The sequence below is a fragment of the Homo sapiens genome, chromosome 5 (genome assembly GCF_000001405.40).
Source record: "Homo sapiens chromosome 5, GRCh38.p14 Primary Assembly".
NCBI lineage: Eukaryota > Metazoa > Chordata > Mammalia > Primates > Hominidae > Homo > Homo sapiens.
In genome coordinates, this window is record NC_000005.10 from 168,983,082 (window position 1) to 169,000,308 (window position 17,227).

At 46.9% G+C, this 17,227-nt stretch overlaps 1 protein-coding gene and 1 long non-coding RNA gene across 4 annotated transcripts in view, besides 1 other annotated feature; one reads left to right on the forward strand and one right to left on the reverse strand.

Moving 5' to 3' along the window:
- The window catches only part of SLIT3 (slit guidance ligand 3), a 639,400-nt gene that overhangs the window by 321,342 nt on the left and 300,831 nt on the right, over window positions 1–17,227 (reverse strand). The window lies entirely within an intron of this gene.
- Window positions 1,164–1,745: an enhancer, noted in NCBI's record as "OCT4-NANOG-H3K4me1 hESC enhancer chr5:168411250-168411831 (GRCh37/hg19 assembly coordinates)". NCBI's record gives its function as "activates a minimal SCP1, AML or CMV promoter by ChIP-STARR-seq in naive H9 embryonic stem cells {active_cell/tissue: H9 hESC(naive)}" and the evidence as "EXISTENCE:reporter gene assay evidence [ECO:0000049][PMID:30033119]".
- On the forward strand, window positions 9,895–11,107 carry LOC124901130 (uncharacterized). The gene is made up of 2 exons (XR_007059042.1): window positions 9,895–9,980; window positions 10,994–11,107. It is a non-coding gene; the product is annotated as an uncharacterized LOC124901130 (long non-coding RNA).

Genomic DNA, 17,227 nt, shown 5'->3' on the forward strand with positions numbered 1-17,227 from the left:
TACTGCTGACCTGAAGACCTGGATGAATTGATGCTCCTGTCTCAAGCCACATTGCCATTCTCATTCAAGATGGATTTGAATGTCAAAAGGCTAAGTCAGATTTCCTGATATCTACTGGCTCCAGAAAACTTAGGGATCAAAACATCACTTTCTATACAATAAAATGCATCTCACTTTGTAGAGATCTCACAAGCTTTATCCCCCAGGTAAACTCCCCAAGATCACCTAAAGCCAGGGATTTCCCTGTCTGGTGCCAATTTATCTTTTCACATAAATCAGTAGCAAGTTAGTGCTACAGTTTTCTTCACCTAAGCCCTGCAATCCGTTCCCCTAGGATGGGAGAAAATATCTTCTTCATCAGAAATATCACAAATCCTCAGTGGGACTTTGATGTCTGGTTTCTCCGCAGCTAAGATTCTTTTGGGGTGGTAGCACACAGTGGTGGAGAAGGGCAGAGGCTGATGTCCATTCTTTGCTCTGTTCTAAGCTGTGAGCCCCGAGCAAAATCACATAAGTGGCTCTGTGCCTCAATTTCCTCATGTGCAAAATGGGGGAGCCTAACTCCTGCTATTATGGTAAATAAAAATTAAATTATAAAGCATTTAGAACAGTGCTTGGTGCACAGTAAACATTAGCTGTTATAATTATGTACTTATTTAAAACAGTATAATCTATTTCCAAAAGGTTTTTGGAGGTATGATACGAGCAGAGAAATCACAGCAAATTCTTCCTTTCTCAAAAGAACCAAACTCCCCAAATTTGAGTCTTAGGTTAAAATGACATTAAGACATCATTACTATCTTAAAAGGAGGCTAGAAAAGAAAAGAGAGGCCTGGCTCACGCCTGTAATCCCATCACTTTGGGAGGCTGAGGTGGGAGGACTGCTTGAGCCCAGGAGGTTGAGGCTGCAGTGAGCTATGATCATGCCACTGGATTCCAGCCTGGGTGAGAGAGAGAAACCCTGTCTCAAAATATATATATATTTTTTTTAATGGAAAAATAATGGATAAAATAAGTATTAATATAAATACTGTAAAATGTACTTGCAACAAACTAGAATATTACTTGATTTTGAAACTGAGTACCATAAAATTAAAAATAATGATAGAACTTTAGAAATTTTCAAAGGAGGAAGGAAAAGCAAATCTCAAGTAAATTAAAGTGCTGGTGAGCACGGGTAGGGGCAAGAACTCAATGTGGGGACTGGCTGGGCCCGTCGGTGCCTGATGCAGAGCTCCTCAAATTGCATCGCCCTCTTTAACAAGAGAACTGGTTATTCAATCTGCATTTCCTAAATGAGAACCAGCTACCCCATCTGAATTGCCCAAATTCAATTAAGTCACCTGGCATGCTTCCTGTCAATACCCTCTCTTTTGGCTCACTTTGTCTTTTAACCATTATCGCCTCTGATCATTGTGAAGTTAAGGGCCTCCAAGCTGTCTGTATAAGACCAACAACAGGGGAAAGCTTTTTCCAGCCCCACTGAAATATCAAGGTGAGGCTGCATGGGGCCTAATGACCTCTTGCTGTGAAAATGTCAGGGTAACTCTGAAAACCACTTGTGCCCTACTTTTCCAAGGAGAAGGGCCCCTTTTACACTGTTTTCTATGCTTTAATGGGCTACTTTCAGAATTTAGAGGCAAACAAATGTAATATAAGGCTGATTATCAGTTAAGTGTTAAACTGTGAGTTACAGGAAAAATGGATACATCACAGAAAAACATCCCAAACTTTAGTGGCCTTATCAACCCAGGCTGCTTGTTAAACACCAGATTGCTGCTCTCTGCACCTCCCATTCTGAATCAGGAGGTCTAAAGTAAGACCTCTATTTCTGCACTTTCAAGCATCCAGGTGATTATAATAATAAACTTTGAGAAGTAATGATCCAGAAATATCACACATAGGAGAGAAATGCTAAGAGGAAAGCAACAAGAAACCGGTAAGGGAGTCATCTAAAATTTTCAGGCCATTTCTTAGAATGACAATTACTTGACCCCCAACTGTGTTCTCTACTAGACATGAATTCTCTAAGATCAGGGATGTTCAGAGTTCCTTCCGTGGCCACCCTGGGCTTTGCACCTTGCAGGAAGAGTTCAATTCCTGGGTGGGGAATTAAACTGAACCTAAAGATCGCTTGAACTTTTTCCACAACTAGCCCAGGAGTCAGGACCTAGTTCCTTGTACCATCTGAACTGAGCCACGAATATGCCATCTTGGCTTCCAAGGTTATCCTGCCCATTTTTCTGGACTTCCTAAGATCTTGGATCGTCATATGAGATTGGGCTTCAGCAATCTCTGAACTGCCGTGGAGCAAACCAGATGCAAAGGCTTTGCTTCCGGCAAGGGGAGTCTGTGTCCTGGTGATGACAAACCAAGGAGAAAAGCAATCATGGTGCATGGGAACAACTGAGTGGTTGACTGCTTGCCTTCCCAGCACTTCTTTCCCTGTGTTTTACTGCAACAGCCCTCATTTTTATTTGCAGGTCCACTCCTCCCTAATTTCAGTTCCTATGCATGGTGGGCGCAGCATGTGGTCTGGGCTAAGGCAATTAGCATTTCTCATTCTCTGTCCCGTGACCATGCTGTAGCCAATGGGAGCAGATGTGCTCACAGGAATGCAGGGACAAAGACTCACCTTGAACCGGGAGGCTGTGAGGTTTGCAGCTGTGGTGGCCGTCTTGCTACAGTGAGGAGAGGGCTCCTCTCTGCAAATGGAGCCAATGCAGAAAAAACAAGAGAAGGAAAGGAGGGATGATGGCGGGGGGTAGGAAGAGAGATACAGAGACAGAGTATGGTGGTTGTATTTGAACCCCTGGTTAAATCATGCCTGGGAGTGCCGCACTCCCAAGCTTTTCAGACCCATAAGTCAATCATCTCTTTTTAAACTTGGGTTTGCTTTCCCTAAAACCTTGTGACTGAAAGGCACTTCATCATGTAGTAAGGCTTTTCAAATGAAACGTCCAGCCTCACGAAGAAATGCCTTCTATAAGGGGCTGACACTGAGTCTTCTCAAAAGGCATATGCATTCAGTTTACAAAATCAGAATATGTAATATACCTCATACTTTTCAGTTCTTTCATGTCTTTTCTTACGTCTGGTTCTCCCAATTCCCTGACAGTGCTAGATGCTAAGTAGGCAAATTTCATGACGTAGGGCAAAAATCACGATCCCTATATGATAGATGATGAAATGGAGGCCAAAAGGGGAGAATTAACCCACTTGAGATCGGTCAGTTTGTGAAGGAGCCATGCACCGCACTTCCCAGTGGTGTAGATAAGGGAAAGGAAATATTTGGACGGTGGCGCCCTTCTTACATGGCCTCCATAGCCCTCCTCTCCCTTTGGGTACCATGATGCTTTTCAGCTCACATTGGTACATTGGTAGCTGCAGGGAGAGGCTTCAACATATTTATCAGCGAAAACATCAGCATCCAGGCCCCCATCTCCATTCTCAGTGTCCTCGTCCATCCCACCCCTGCACGCTCTCTCCTTTATCATAACTTGCATGACCTGGACCATCCAGGCATGCTGTGAGCATGGCCCTCCCTTCCTGTGCTAGTGGGAGTTTTCTCCACCACAAGCAGTTTTAGCACAGGCTTGGAGTCAGAAGGACGTGGGTTCACATTGTGACTCCTTTATTATGAATGTGACCATGGGTGAGTGACCACCTCTCTACTGCTTAGATTCCTCACCTATAAAATGGGGGTCATAACAACAAAGACCTTGCAGGGCCTTTGCACATTAATGAGATACATATATAAAAAGCCTTTAGTGTGGGTTTAACTCATGATATACACATTGTTTACAAAGGCTAATATTTAGCCGGGCGTGGTGGCACGCACCTTTAATCCCAGGTACTCAGGAGGCTGAGGCAGGAGAATCGCTTGAACCCGGGAGGCAGAGGTTGCAGTGAGCTGAGATCATGCCACTGCACTCCAGCCTGGGCAACAGAGCGAGATTCCATCTCAAAAAATAAAAGAAGGCTAATATTTATCAAACACGGACTTGGCCAGCTTATTAATGGTCACTAAGCTGTAGCTCTCTCTGTTGATCTGATTCCTATCCATCCTTCAACAGCTACTTCAAATCCCACCTTCCCCTTAACCTGGAATCCTGACAACTCTAGTTCTCTCTCCCTCTTTACTCTGGATTCCACTGCTTTTGATGTCAGAGTCACTCCCTGCTTTGCATTCTTCCTTTATGTTCACCAAGTTAATCTCTCCCACATATTCACAATGACCTATTTCTCCCACCCAGACTATCTATGTGGTCCTATTTTTCTATTCACGCTAATCTCTCTAGCAGTATAGCCTAGTGGTCCAGACCATGAGCTTTAGGGCCAGCCAATCCTGGTTTCAAATCCTAGCTCTTTGCTGTGTCACCTTAAAAATGTACTTAACCTCTGAGTGTCAGTTTCCTCATCTGTAAAATGGTGATGATTCCTGCCTGTCAGGGTTGTTAAGCACACTATAGGAGATACTACATGCAAACTGCTAAGCGTATTTATCACATGCACACAGTAAAGCTCTACCCTTGGTAACATAATGATAGTCTTAGCCACACAAGCATCTAGCTCACTGCCTCGTACCCTATAGGAACCGAATTGATTTAAACCCAGAGGCATTTAGTCCTCTGTGGTTACCTGTACTTTCCCACATTCCCACTCATGGCCACAAGGTGGCAGCCCACCCATTATGGAGGAAGCTTTTATTTCCAGAACGGGAAAGAACGAAATGATTTCTTATGGAATATATAGATGACTTCTTTTTCGGTGTTAGGTAGGTGGGGGGACTGAATATCCTCATAGGCCCCTGGTTCCATTTTCTGTGAGTGCACTACCTGTACACATGGGACCACTGTGTCACAGCTGAAGCAGATCAAACAAGTCAACTGCACATTAAGGTGTTCTCTTCTAGGGAATGTGGCTGGCACCTGTCTCCCCCTTTCTTTCAGCCACACTCCATCAGAAAGCCTGCGGGGTTTAGAAACCTCCCTAGGCTGGGCTTCGCCATCCTGCACCTGTATTAAGGTGTCAGGGAGTCTGGTGAATGGACCATATGTGCACCTATGGTGACCATTTTGTCTGAGACTTTCTGGGTTTTAAAACGGGAAGCCCTGTGTCCTGGAAAATCCTTCCGTGCTAGGCAAACACAGATGGTTGCTCGCTCTAGGGCATCTCTGCTACATCTCCACTGTAACTCCATAGATATGGTTTCCCTTTTTTTCCCATGGAAAAAGAAATTGTGGACATGCAATTTCCCAAAGTCCTACAATTCCATAATTTTATATTTGGAAGGGAACACAGACAACACTCAGATCCTGCATGATGGGGAGAGTAGAATGGTCTTGCCCAGGTCACATGGCTGGGCTGGCAGGGAAGGACCCAGATCCTTGAGTCTAACTCTCAGCTCTTTCCAAGGGCTCCCGACCACTTGGAGCTGCAGGGTATAGAAGGAGGGTGTGTGGCTTCCTGGACGTTCCCTCAAAAGAGCTTCTGGGAAATAGCAAAACAGGGCAGAACTCAGGAAGACTGCGAGATCTAACTTAAAGCAAACTTCCAACCAAATACTTAGGGATGCAATTAACATGCATACGTTATATAAAAGGGTGAATGGGTGGGATTTAAATTTCACCTGGATGGAAAATCTTCACGGATCTCACTTTGGCACACTGGAGGAGAATCAACTAGGAGACCCCCCCCCAGGGGCAGGCAGCACTAGAATTGAGCCTCGAAAGCCTTCCTGGGTTTTGCCTCCAGAGAAAAGAATCAGCATCTCTCTCCTGGGATCTCCTTGGCACACCACTCTCCCCATCTCAGCCAGGCCAGCATTTGTCCTCACTGTTCACTGCAGAAAGTGAAAGTTTCTGGATGTACTTTCATTAACAAATCCTGCTAAAGCAAACTCCTGCTCTCAATGTTATTGGACATTTACATCTTCAGTCTCAACCATGGCACTAAATTAATTTGCCTCAGAGACACACCACTGAATTCAAGTATTTTATTAGAAAGCTACACCAAATACAGGAGCCTTGCAGAACAGAACAGAAAGAATGCCTCTTTTGCAAAGACATGAAAAGCAGGCAAATCCATACAAGACGGAATATGGTAAGCATACATCCTTAGGAAATGATCTTTTGTTTTGTTTTCGGTTAGGAATTCCCACAAAACAAAATTCTTATTAGTAACAAAAAGTTTAAAAAGTTGGTTTCCAAAACAAACTTGACAGGGAAGGAAAGCACCTATGAGAGGAAGGAACCACCCAAGTGATTCTTCTACAAAATAGAAGATGAGCTGCAAACTTAGGCACAGCCACCTGAAATGAATTTGCTGAAAACACAGCAGGAGACTTGCAGCAAACTTTCAGGTGGGATTTGCCACACTTGTCTCGCTCTTTGGGGTAAGGAGGAGAGCCCGAGCAGAGGGAGAATGTGAGGTGACAAGTTCCAGCTAACATCTCTGCATCTAATGTAATTCTGAAAGTTCTAAAGCGCGAACTAGTTGTATCCTAAAAGAGTGAGGCAAATCTGAGTGGTAACCAACATCCACCAGAATGGAAAATGCAGGCACAAACTAGTGCAAAGCAGGGCAAAGACCCAGGAAAGTAATTGGTAGTCACTGTTCCCATAGCCACCCTAAAACGAGAAGATCAGAGAGAATGAACAAGAAACGTAGAAAATCAGCTCAGAGATCTGGATTTTCACCCCAATGATGCCAGAAACCAGGATGGGACCTGAACAAGTTATTCACCCATCTGAAGTTTCATTTCCGTTTTCTGCAAAGTGAAGGGGCCAGGTTGAATGTCCCCTGAGGTCCCTTTTATCTCTAACAGTTCTGTGAATAAATATGTAGTTGGCACATTATAGTCAAGAGGTTAAGCTGAGTAAACAAGAAAGTCCAGGTTCAGCCATCAAAGTTCCACGGCCGCCTATCCTGCTATTCATGTGGGTTCAGGACAGGGCCCTCTTCTCAGGCCAAGCTGGCAGATTCCTAGTTCCATTCCCCTGAAGATGTGAGAGAGGATGGGATTGTCTAATGAACTCACTACAGTCCAACTGAGGCAAGATTTCTACATCAGGGTCCATCAGGATGTCCATCTTGCACCCTTGGCAATTGCAGCCTTGCAAAGCATAGCCACGAGCCACCTTCTCTTCCCACAATCTCTCCTCTCTTCCCTGCATCCCCAGTCAACAAAGGAGAGAGTCACAGAGAAGGGTGAGGGTGGGACAGGGTAAGAAACTCCAGCCCCAGCTCTAAAACCTTTACAGAAAGCCTTTGTTTGAATGCTAAACGTTTGTTTGTTTGAAGTGATTCAGATCCCGTGAGATCTTCTCAATTCTATTTCACTTTCACATGGCGGGCTTCACCTCTCACTCTACCTTTCATGACCACCTCACAGCCTTAAAAGCATTCTCTCAAACTTGATGAGAATAAAAAAATTTAAAACAATTATCTCCCTGCCCCAGCCCAGTGTCAAAACAGCATCATTCTAAAGGGAGAGTGAAGGGGACCCAGAGAGGTTATTTATTTTTGTCCTGTAAATAGAATTATAGGTTGAATAGAGCCTCTACATCAGCCAGGGGTCTTCAAACTCTTTTTAAAAGCAGGGGAACCTTCTGTCGAATGGAGTTGTGTGCAGGTACAGGGACCTCAGGCAGGTCCTGTCCCTCTTGGGTGGGTTAGTAATGTCCCTCAGCTGACTGCTGGGTCAGTCTGCAAGAACACGCTCCAGGGAGGTCTTAGAGAAAAACAAAACCCAATAACATTATGTTGTCCTTGGAGAATGCCACACGACAGCTGCCACGAGTAACAGCAGCTATCATTTATTGCCTGTTTGCCAAGTGCCAGACCCTGCACTAAGTACTTGTTTGCATTTGCTGCTTTCATTGGGCCACTGTCACCTTGTGGGATGGGAATGGTCATCTTCATTCTGTGAAGGGGGAAAGTGAAGGTCAGAAAGGTAAAGGAATTTATCTGACATCACACAGCTAGCAACTGGCACCGCTGGGAGGTGCTCTTATTAGATACTATACTAGAAGCACTTGCTTCCCATCAAGAATATCTAACTATAGTAACTCATAATAGCTAATGTTTTGGGGAGTGGTTATGATGTGCCAAGGACTCTGAACTGGGGGGTTTCATAAAGATTGTCTCTTTTTTTGTCCTTCCAAAAACCTTATCAAGCAAATTGTAGTTGTAATCCCATTTTTGAGCTAAGAACACTGAGGCTCAGAGGCCTCCAAAGGAGGAAGTGGTAGGAATAGAGTCTGAATTGCTCCAAGGCCTCAGCTCTCACCAGCATGGGGCAGTCACCTGCCTGGCTGGGAAGCAGGTGGAGAGCCTACAGCCCCAGGCTTGGGAGGGGACACGGGAGCCCCAGGTGCTGTGTGGGCCACAGCCCTCTAGAAGCTGGGCTGAGTCACAGGCATCACAAACAGTGGCTTCCCATGTTGGCCTCCCCACTGCCCCCACCACCCCCAGCAGCAAACCTGTAGGCAGGAGTGGGGAAATGCCAGCCTGGGGAATGCAGTGCCCTGGGGATCTATCAGGGAGGACGAGGGAAAGCCTCCCCCTTCTCTCAGAGGTTTTGCTCAGGATCCCCAGGAAAATTCTTTCAGTCATTCTGGCTGGCAATTGTTTTCAAAGGCCTACCCCAGAGACTGGAGAGGAGAAAGTGCCTGTCTCAGAATGGCCACCCTGGCTTGTCCATTACCATACAGAAAAACAGCCCAGACTCCACATTCGCCTCTAACCCACACATTTCCCTCTTGACGCCCAATTCCCATCAGTCTCTGACCCAGGAGCCTGGGGTGGGGAGCTGGGGTGGGGGCAACGGCAGACCCTTTCAGGGCCGGAGAGGCCCCCTGACTGGCAGGCACTGATTTTTTAATTTAAAAAGCAAAGTAAACAGCAATATAAAAGGGCCCATATAAGAACTCAGTGTGTAAGTGGGACCTGCCTCAGGCAAATTTTTCTAATTTTCCTGAAAACAAGCATTTTTACCCTTTGGCCCAAAGCCATTGCCTTTGCCATTGGACTTGGCCCCTGCCCCACCCCCTCTCCTGAGCCACCCTTCTGTGTTTGAGAAGCTGCCCCTGGCAGAAAAGAGAATGACCTCCTGCGTTTTAGTCAGACACTTCATACGGGCTGGTGAAGGTTTTTTGAGGTTGCTCACGCTCCCAGCCAAGGAGTCTGTGGAAATCCTTCAAAAAGTACAAGGCAGCCTTATGAATGGGGAGTGAGGAGCTTAATGACAGACGCAAGGACCCTCAACTACATCTGAAGGAGGAGAAAGAATTATGATGACCGAATCCTGTAGAATTCTGCTGAGGTTTACTTTTACTTTATGCGAGGGCTAATTAAGCTGGATTTATAAATAGGTTATTTATTTTTGTCTTGTAAATAGAATTATAGATTGAATAGAGCCTCTACCTCGGCCAAGGGTCTTCAAACTCTTTTTTAAAGCAGGGGAACCTTCTGTTGAATGGAGCTGTGTGCAGAACCACAGCATAAAAATGGAAGCAAAAGTTCTCTGGTCAGGTTGGAAAGGAAGGCCTGGGGTCCTGCTCAGGCCTGGAGGGCACCCATTTCCAGCGGCCATCTGTCCCCCTGCCCCAGTCCCTGATGTGTTCTGTGGAACCTCAGGGTTCCAAGGGACAGAGTCTGAAAGACATTGCTCTAAATGAATCTGTGCTGCATGGAATGTATTTTCCAGTCGCTGCCTCCAGGATTACTGAACATGGAGGGGGCGCTGTGGTCTCAAATCCCAGGTGCATTAGCATTTCCGTTTTCATGTAGGTTGACACAGTGTTCCCTTGTACTAGAAAATGCCAGTGGGTGTTAGCAAAGGCCCTTTACACGCAGAACAATGAGCCCAGAGCGAGGCGCAAGCTTCAAAGCCGTCTCTTCACTGGAAAGGGTGACGCGGCGCAAGATTTACCCCTGAACCTCTCTGGGAGTGTGAGCTTCATGGGCCTCAGTAGGTAGGTGTTTGGGTCGGCTCTTTTCAGTTCCGAAATGAAAATATCCTATGGGCTTATCGGAAGCCTCAGGTCTGACATTTAGAGGTGTGTCTTCCTTCCCAAACTGAAAACACACATTTCCTCTCCTTCTCCTAAGAGACTGAGGAATCCCGAGATGTCAGCCAAGCGCAGAATAGCCAGGTGCTCGAGGCGCTGCTGACAGGCTGCTGTGAGGGTCAGGGCTCTGCACTCTCAGGGGGGCTCCGGGTCCGGAGGAGAGCACCCACATGTCAGGCTTCACTTGTCCAGGCCATGCCCATGGCACCCCGCCTACAGGATCTGACGCCTGGCTTTTTCAGAGACTCCCTCTGTCATCTCTCAGAAGCAGGCAGGACAGATGGAGACCCACTACACAGATGTGGACAACAAGGTATTAGGAAGTGAAAGGCCAGACAAAATCCCCCATGGGGGTCAACCTCTCTCTGTGGGCTCAATGTGCTCCCACAGCCTGCTCTGAAGGCCCTTTTGTCTTAGAAGGATTTTCCATCCTAAGTAACTACAGGATTCTTCTCTCTCCTAACAAGATTTATGGAAAGAGTTTCTGTTTTCTCATATACTTTCTAAGTACACAGGAAAAAAAAAAAAACTCCTGACTAAATGATGATAGGCAGAAAAGAAACAAGACACAAAGTGAAGACGGGCACAGAAATCTATCACCTTGTTCCTGGTCAGGGGCCACCTTCTCTTCCCCACTGAGTAAATGGTAGAGCCACGTGATCAAAATCATCCCGCTTTTTCCCCATTCTGGGGAAAGCCCTTGGGTTTCTCTTGATGTTATAACATAATACAAACAAAACAAAGGCAAAACACAGAATTTACAGAATGTCAGTTTCTCACAGCAGCTGACTGAGGGCTTCTAGAGTCAGTGGGAATTGCAGGATGCCCAGGATGGGTATGAGGGATGCAGACAAGACATCGGGAGCCAGGGTTCCAGCTGCAACCTTGCCCCTGATTGGCTCATTGTGTGGCTGTAGGAGGAGACGGTGGAGAAGAAAAAGACTTTACCAGGCTGTCTGCAGACACCCTTGTCCTAGAGGCCCTGGAGTGGGACAGCTGGGTGGCTCCTCGGAAGACTCCACAACCCCTTGGTAAGAGTCATGACCCTAAAGAAAAACAAGGTGAATGGAATCCTCAGTGCTGGGATAGGGGAGGAGCCTCTGCTGCTGGAGCTGGTGAAGAGCCTCTCTCAGGGCTTTCTGGGGTTTACTGAGAATCAAAGGCATCCTCTGGAATCCTACAGAAAACCAGCCCTAAGGTTGACATTGTCCTATACATTTATTTTCCACACTTTTCCTACCTGGAACTTGCTCATACCCCATAAAGGCGAAAGGTACCATCCCAGAATTTAGTTATCTGTCCATCTCAATCCCCTCTTACTCCCAACCAAATTATCTGTTTTCACACCCACATAAATCCCATCTTACCTCCAAGGCTAACAGCTTTGCCATTCGCTGGTCAAAGTGGTTACAAACAGAATAATAATATCTAATGCTACTAACATGTACCAGTGTCTGGCATTCTACTTTTTTTTTTTTTTTTTTTTTTTTTTTTTTTTTTTTTTTTGAGACTGAGTCTTGCTCTGTCACCCAGGCTGGAGTGCAATGATGTGATCTCAGCTCACTGCAACCTCCACCTCCCAGGTTCAAGTGATTCTCCCGCCTCAGCCTCCTATCTGGGATTACATGCACCCACCAATCATGCCCAGTTAATGTTTGTATTTTTCTAGAAACGGGGTTTCAGCATGTTGGCCAGGCTGGTCTTGAACTCCTGACTTTAAGTGATCCACCCACCTTGGCCTCCCAAAGTGCTGGGATTACAGACATGAGCCACTGCGCCCAGCCCTGGCATTCTATTTTGCATGTCTTGTCTCCTATAATGCTTACAACAAGCCTATGAAGTTAGGAGCTATTATTATGCCTATTTTTCCATAAGGAAACTGAGGCACAGTGAAATCTGGTGTCTTGCCTAAGATCACACAATCAGTAGGGGATATAGGCAGGGCTCATACCAGGTGATCTTACTTAAGAGTCCCATCTTCTGTACGTCACTCAACCACAGCACGCATATTGCACCTTCAGATCTCCACTGTGCAACCAGCAAATTGACCCAGTGTGAGAGCAAACAAAGCCTTCCTATACTCACAGCAGAAGAATGTTCACAAAGGAGCTGTTTAAGGCTGGTCTACAAAGGGGGTAGTGTGGAGTAGAACAGGGAAGAATTAGCCACTTAGATCATCCAACAGGATGGACATGCCAAAAGTCACTTTGATTCTGCCACCAAATTAAGAACATGATTTTAATAAACGATTACATTTAGTATCTATTCCTCATTGTAATACCTTAGTCATGCTTGCACAAGCTAATTCTAAATCTAGTTTGTCTTCCCCAGGTACTCAATGATTAAGTGATGAAAGAAAGTGCTTTTAATTGTGTTCGTTGGTATGAGGGGAAAAACCCAAAACCTTGGGTAATCTACTGTCAGAAAACTGAGAATCATCAGTATCAAGAAGGTTCTTCTCCTGAAAGGAGCCCCTTGACACATTTGCAAAATAAACGGTTTTCATTGGTCAGACGAAAACAGTTTCCAAGGATTGGGAACTTGTGGTCTCCGATGGCAGCTTCCCCTGCTCCCTCTGCTTCCCTGTCTCCTTTCTGGCGTAATTGCTCACCTGGCAAACCAGCACCAAGCTGGGACCCCAACCCTGCACACAGCCCAACTCCTCAGTGGCAAGGCCAGCAGCCTTGGACATCTGGGCCTCTGTTCTCATACAAAGCTTCAGCACCATGTTTGATTTCCCTGAGAAGGTTGGCAATTGTGGCCAATTCCCAAAGCACTGGTATTCTTTCTGGTTCCTCTTGACCAACCGTGAGTAACCCCATCACCCTCCCACCCCAGGACATTCAGTTGGTGACCATCTATAGAGACATCTGACACTGAGATCAATGATATCCACCATAGCACTTAGCACGGGGCCAGGCACAGGGCAGGAGCTCCACAAAGCTCAGTGTGGCTGGTGGCAGCTGGGACAGGGAAGGGTGTGGGGAGACTTCTGTTGCTGGGAGAAGCTCTTTTCTTGAAGGGAGGCCTTTGCCCTTTCAGAGGGAGAACAAACAGAGAGGCATTAAGTCTGCAAGCACAGCCCTCGCAAAGCCTGACCTGCAGGCCTCCTCCCGAGAGACACATGATTTACCTAGGCTGAAGTCAACAGAGGGACATCTGAGCTCCAACTATCCTTTCCCATTTCACACCAGGGTGACATTAAATGGTTCCATTTTCAGTGGATGGGGGAAGGGAAGAGGGGAAAATGGAGCTAAAGTTTCATTTTTAATGAACATCAATAAAATATTCTTCCCTAGGTACACTGTCCCCCTGCCCCAAACCTATGCAAAAGAAATAGTCTACTTCTTCCAGTGACTTTGGGCTTGTTTGCATATATCTGGGGCTTTGGATATAACGTCAAGCGCTTCGTGATGCCACAGTAAATTCAGAAACACGTAAGAAGCTATTGATTTCGATCCCCAACAACTCTTGGCTTGTAGACATTTCACTGATGAATGTTACAGCAGCGGATTTTTTAGTGGCCCTTCATACATGGTCATGTCCCTCTGGGCTGGCCAGTGACTTGGCATCAGGTCATCCATCCAATCCCCATGTGAGGTGATAGGAAGTGGTGCTCCTGACGGTGAGGGGCCCCAGCTACCAATATTTTTACGGCTTCCGCTGGGATGCAAAAGCAAGTGAGTCTCAGGCCTGTCTCAGGAGGTGGGTGGCCTGAGCCGGGTGGAGTGGAGGAGTGATGTGTGGGAGAATGTGGCTCATGGTCTATTTACATTCAGGATCCTTTCAGCTTCTGCAGGACCATCTTGACTGCTGCAGGTCTCTGTGAGTGGGTCATCCTCACAGCTGTCAGGCCGGGTTAGTGCACTCTCAAGAAATCATGATGAAAGGGAGGGATCAACCGCCTCATTGATCAATAATCCTGTCTCCTGTGGCCCTCAGTTTTATGCCTGGTGCACTAGGGGACTGTGACGCATCGCGTGCCCCTTCTCTAAGAGCGACACCTGTACCTTCCCAGACACAGGGTCTGGAAGCTGGTCTCCTGAGAGGTCACACTGGGACCTGGGAAAAGCTGGGCTCAGAGGCTCCCTGGGGATTTGGAGGGTTGGGAAGGGGCAAACACTTCGACTGAGAATTTGTGTCAAATTTGAGCTCTGTTGTTTTTCCTACCCCATCCCCCCACTTTAGAGGGAGAGACTGCAATTACTTTTCTGTACCCCCTGGAAAGAGGATTTGGGGTTCTGGGTTTGTGGAATCAAGTCCTATTGTGAAAGAATAGAATTAACTGAAAGAGGGAGGGTCTTCTCCAAAACTAGAAAGGGATGGGGGTAGAGGGAGGTATGCGTGGGGCCCAAGGATTTGGGAGAGGCAAAAGACCCCACAGAGTCATGGCCGCGTGGCTTTCTAGAAGCCTTGCCCCAAATTCCCTTTCTCATCCAAGCCCAGAAATGCAGAGCTGCTGCATGCAGGAGACCTCAGTGGGCCTGGGTGATCTGGGACTGCTGATGACCATCCTTTGTTTCCGGTCACCATGCAAACTCCTAACTCTGCTGGGAGGGGTCCTGGAAGGGAAACAGGAGAGAAGACCTAGGTAGCAACTGGCACGGCATTTCCAACCAGCCTATGACATGGGGATTCAAGTGTCAACATCAGGTTCAAAGGAGTGGTATTTCTGGCACACCTGAGTTTGTCCTTGGCACTTCACATCCACCGCAACCCTTGCATGGCTTTATCTGTAGTGTCTATAAAGAGATCAGGGCTCCATTCTTCATGTGATAACCTTTCCCAGAATTTGAGGCCAAGCTCTCTCTCTCTACCCGCCCCATGCCCTCTCTCTCCCTCCATCTCTCCCCTTCCCTCCCTCTCTCTCCTCTGTTCATATTCAAAGCCAGGTGGAAGCTCTCAATAATAAACTGTGGGAGTCACTTGGGACACAGGGATGGCTGCTGATCTCACAGAGTTACAAGAAAGAAAGTCATCCAGATTGGCTCTAGAATAAAATGCCACCAGAAAATGTATTTGAAGAATGAAATACTTTGTCATGGCTTAAAACACATGAAACACATCCGTTTCATCCCTTCCTTGTTTCTTTTCAGCTATAGAAAGGACAACCAGCACCACCTCCAAAATGCCTCCAAAGGGTCTGCCTTGTATGCAAGGTTGTAGGTATTTTAGTTAAACATCCAATTAAGGTTACTCTTCTAGTTATAATGTTTTGATGCCACCCCATGTACTAGTAAACTTTGAAGGTTAGAACTAAGAAATGGGCCAGGCGCGGTGGCTCAGGCCTATAATCCCAGCATTTTGGGAGGCTGAGGCGGGCAGATCAGAAGGTCAGGAGTTCGAGACCAGCCTGGCCAATATGGTGAAACCCCGTCTCTACTAAAAATACAAAAATTAGCTGGGAGTGGTGGCGCATACCTGTAATCCCAGCTACTCAGGAGGCCGAGGCAGGAGAATCGCTTGAACCCGAGAGGCAGAGGTTGCAGTGAGCCGAGATCGCACCATTGCACTCCAGCCTGGGCGACAGAGCAAGACTCCATTTCAAAACAAAACAAAACAAAACAAAACAAAACAAAACAAAAGGCCATTGAACAGGGTGAAAAGATGTGTCCTCAAAGTGTGGTCCCCAGACCAGCAGCATCACTGTCACCTAGGAATGTGTTAGAAATATGAATTCTTGGGCCCTACCCCAGTCCCACTGAATCAGAAATTCTGGGAGGGGACCCAGAAATCTGTGTGTGTGTGTGTGTGTGTGTGTGTGTGTGTGTTTTGAGACAGGATCTCGCTCTTTTGCCCAGGCTGGAGTGCAGTGGAGTGATCATGGTTCACTGCAGCCTCAACCTCCCAGACTCAAGTGATTATCCCACCTCAGCCTCCCAAGTAGCTGGGATTACAGGTGTGCACCAGCATGCCCAGCTATTTTTAAATTTGTTTTTTTAGAGACAGAGTCTCACTACATTGCCCAGGCTGGTGTCGAATTCCTGGGCTCAAGGTATCTTCCTGCCTCTACCACCCAAAGCGCTGGGATTACAGGTGAGTCACCCTTTAGGAGGTAATGAATGAACTTCCAAGTATGAGAGCCTCTGGTAATGGGTTCAAGACCTCTGGCTCTGGAGTGGGATACAGTCAGGTTTCAATCCCAGATCTGCAGGCATGGATCTGCAGCAGTTCATCTTGTGCTGCTGGCTTTACCTCTCTTAATTTGGTTTTCTGATTGGATAAACAGTAATAATTACCCCCATCCCATAAGGTTGTTGGATCAAATAAAACAGCACAGCTACATAGAGCCTTGTGTGGGTATTTTGGGGTGCTGAGTGATAACTAATCATATCCCCATCCCCTTCCAATTCCAGACCCATGTGAAGCAGGCAGATGGAGACCAGAACATGGGCTCCATTGCTGATGAACTCCTCTGAAGGACTCAGGGATCTGGTCCCCACTCACATTGGCTTCCTAGTGCTGCCTCCCACAAACTTTGGACAGTGTCCCTATAGGGTGAGAGGGTGAAGGTCTGCAGAGGAGGCACACAGCCCAAGTCCCTGCCTCACACTGTCAAAGCCGAGGAATGTGGACAGAGGATATGCAGCCACGGGACTCACAAAGGCAGCCCTGGCTTCACCATGGAGGGCCGGCCCTGGGGCTGCAGGTACAGAGTGGACGCCCACCTGGGAGCTTTTGCACGGGAAGACCCATGCAAAAGTGGACCTGCTGGACTGCTCAGTCATTCCTCTTGAGCTCGATGGCCTTGTGGCTCATGGCTTGGAGTAGGGAGATGACCCAAAGACCCTTCATGATTTTTTCCACTTGGGGTCTGGGTATCCCCATCCTTCTTAGGAAATAGCAGAAGTAAAGTAATGCCTATCACTTGCTAAAATCAGTGCTCAACAAATACTGCGATCATTATTGACGACAAAAAATCAGTGCTCAACAAATGCTGCGATCATTATTAAGAAGTTATGGCCGGGTGCGGTGGCTGTAATCCCAGCACTTTGGGAGGCTGAGGCAGGCGCATCATGAGATCAAGAGATCTAAACCATTCTGGCCAACATGGTGAAACCTCGTTTCTACTAAAAATACAAAAATTAGCTGGGCATGGTGGTGTGTGCCTGCAGTCCCAGCTACTCGAAAGGCTGAGGCAGGAGAATCGC